The sequence below is a fragment of the Homo sapiens genome, chromosome 10 (genome assembly GCF_000001405.40).
Source record: "Homo sapiens chromosome 10, GRCh38.p14 Primary Assembly".
Lineage (NCBI taxonomy): Eukaryota > Metazoa > Chordata > Mammalia > Primates > Hominidae > Homo > Homo sapiens.
The window spans coordinates 133,049,636-133,052,500 of NC_000010.11; the positions used below are offsets into that span (position 1 = coordinate 133,049,636).

At 60.9% G+C, this 2,865-nt stretch overlaps 1 annotated feature.

Annotated features, from left to right (window-relative positions):
- Positions 856-1,479: an enhancer, noted in NCBI's record as "H3K4me1 hESC enhancer chr10:134863995-134864618 (GRCh37/hg19 assembly coordinates)". NCBI's record gives its function as "activates a minimal SCP1, AML or CMV promoter by ChIP-STARR-seq in naive and primed H9 embryonic stem cells {active_cell/tissue: H9 hESC(naive and primed)}" and the evidence as "EXISTENCE:reporter gene assay evidence [ECO:0000049][PMID:30033119]".

Below are 2,865 nucleotides of genomic sequence, written 5' to 3' on the forward strand. Positions count from 1 at the left end.
AACGGCCCAGCTCCTCCAACACGGCAGACAGTGCCTGGCACAAAGGCCCTTCTGAGGCACCTCAGGCCGGCCCAGCCTGGCAGGGACCTTGCCCCACAGCAGGGGTGGGGGCCCTGCTGCAGGTTTCTCCTTGAGTCTCTGCCTCCACCGCCTTGCGGACCTACCAGCAGCACTGGTTCCAGGGTCTGGCCTGGACTCTCTTCTCCAGCTCTGGGTTCCTCTCCTGAGAGTCCTCTCGGTATAGGCTCTGCAAGCCCCAGAGGGGCCATGTGCGGTTTGGAGGGCCCTCAGCAGACCAGGAAGCGAGGACCCCACCATGGGCCCGCCTCCCGAGGCTGCACCTCCCAGCTCAGTGCCTGTTGGCGCTGGGAGAGGCCTGGCCCCATCCACGATCTCCCCAAGCCAGCAGGGCCAGGGAGGGTGGCTGAGCCCCAGCTCCAGGAAACCGGCCCTGGGTGGACAGGTGGTCCCAAAGGCCGGCCATGCTGCAGAGGCTTAGCCACCCTCCCTGGCCCTTCCTGGAGACCCATTCAGCCCAGCTTCCGGGGCCGTGATGGCTCGGAGAGATCGTGGATGGGGCAGGGCTCCTCCCAGCACCAGCGGGCACAGCCTCAGGGCATGGGCGAGGCAGTCAGCGCTCCCGAGCAGCTCTCAGGGCCTCTGTCCACAGAGCTGCCCACCCCCACCACATGAAATGAGGGAGTTCCCATCCGTGCAAAGGGCCCTAAGCCCCCACCTCCACACCAGCAGGCAGCTGTGAGCCTCAGGTGGACAGGAAGAGGGGCTGGCACTCCCAGTTCAATCTGGTCTAAGTCCCCAGAGAACAAAAACTTGATGGACAGATCGACCAGGACACGATGCGCTTGCTGTGGGGCCAGGGCTGTTGGCCTGACCGAGGGCCTGGCCTCCGAGGCAGGGAGGGCGGTGGCTCTGGGTGGGGGAGGTCCCCACTGACAGCTGCTCCGCAGGACAGGCGGGGCCGGGCTGCAGGTTCCCTCCCCAGCCTGGAGCCGGCTGCTGGGCTGGGACTTTCTGCCACCCAATGCTTTCTGATGAGGAGGAGGGCAGGGGGCAGATGCTTGGAGCTGGAAAGGCAGCAGCCTTGCCAGGTTGCAGGCCGCCCCCATATGCTTTTATCAGGCTGGACGGCAATTCAGCTGGGGTCCCAGTGCTGGTGTCTAAATTCCTGCACTGATATGGGGTCCCGGGCACTGGTGTCTGAATCCCCGCACTGATTTGGGGGTCCCAGGCGCTGGTGTCAGGATTCCTGTCCTGATGTGGGGTCCCAGGCTCTGGTGTCAGGATTCCTGTCCTGATGTGGGGGTCCCAGGCACTGGTGTCTGAATCTCCACACTGATGTGGGGTCCCGGGGGCTGGTGTCAGGATTCCTGTCCTGATGTGCTGTCCTGGGCACTGGCATCTGGATCCCCACACTGCCTCTGGGACCAGGCTCAGCAGCTCCATGGCTCCGTTCTACAGGCTCAGCAGCTCCATGGCTCCGTTCTAGGGAACAGAACACCAAGCCCCTTCCACACTCGTTTGTCCTCTCCAGACTCACAGCAGTGGCCCCGCATCAACACTGACCACGGAAGTCCAGCAGGCCTGGAAACAGGGATGGGTGGGGATGCGGGTCCTGCTGGGAGGTTGGCCGCCTCGCTGTGCCGACTCCAGCACCGAGGTCAGAGTAAGTTATCTCCTCATTCAAATGCAGATTTCACGTGGAACCAAATCATGTTCCTCTTAAGAAATTGCCAGCCTAACAGTGCGTGCTAAATTAGAGCAAGATTATTCCAGGTTATTTGAAATCACTTTCTCCATCACGGTTTTCAGAGGAAAAGAGGAAAGCTGACGAGAGCCCTGCCCAGCCCTGAAGTGTGTTCCCGTGTGGCAGGACCTGCAACTAAAATCTAACCGCTGGACTTCCCAGGACGGAGCACTGACTCCCCCAGGCTACAGACAGAGGCCCAGCAGCTCCCTGAGGAGGCCTCCTTGTTGGAGGCCCAACCAGGACACACACTGTATTCATCCATTTCACACCGAGACCACCCTACCCGCCCCCAGGACACACGCTGTGTTCATCTGTTCTCACACCGAGACCGCCCTGCCCCAACCAGGACACACTCTGTATTCGTCCATTCTCACACTGCTATAAGAAATACCTAAGACTGGGTGATTTATAAAGGAAAGAGGTTTAATTGACTCACAGTTCTGCAGGGCTGGGGAGGCCTCAGGAAATTCACAGTCATGGCAGTAGGTGCCTCTTCACAGGGTGGCAGGAGACAAAACGAGAACCAGCCGGCGAAATGCCAGACGCTTATAAAACCATCAGCTCTCATGAGACTCACTCACCATGGTGAGAACAGCATGGGGGAGACCATCCCCACGATTCAATGACCTCCACCTGGGTTCTCCCTTGACACGTGTGGATTATTATAATACAATTCCAGGTAAGGTTTGGGTGGGGACACAGAGCCAAACCATATCACACGCTCTGCCCCCAACCTGCTGCCTGAGAGCCCCGGTTGCTGGAGCGGGCGGGCCCAGCCGCTGGTGCTGTGTCTTGGGGGTGTCAGACGGGAGCTGGGGTTCTCTCCCGGCCAGCCTGGGGCTGTGCATTTACACATCAGGCTCCCGGTGGGCAAGGCAGCTCACGGGGGTGCCACATCGCAGAGAACCTGTGTGATATTCACACTGCTCCCCCGGGAGCGTCCGAGGCCAGTGTCCTGGGCCTGCCATTCTAGCTGCCTTAGGGGCCTCACCAGCACCCAGCTCCTCCCCACTCAGGTGGGAAGCCCCCAGCAGCGTGGGGCCCTTTCCTCTCCTGAGATGTGGTGGGCAGAGCCAGACGCGCCCTCAGCCCTCAGG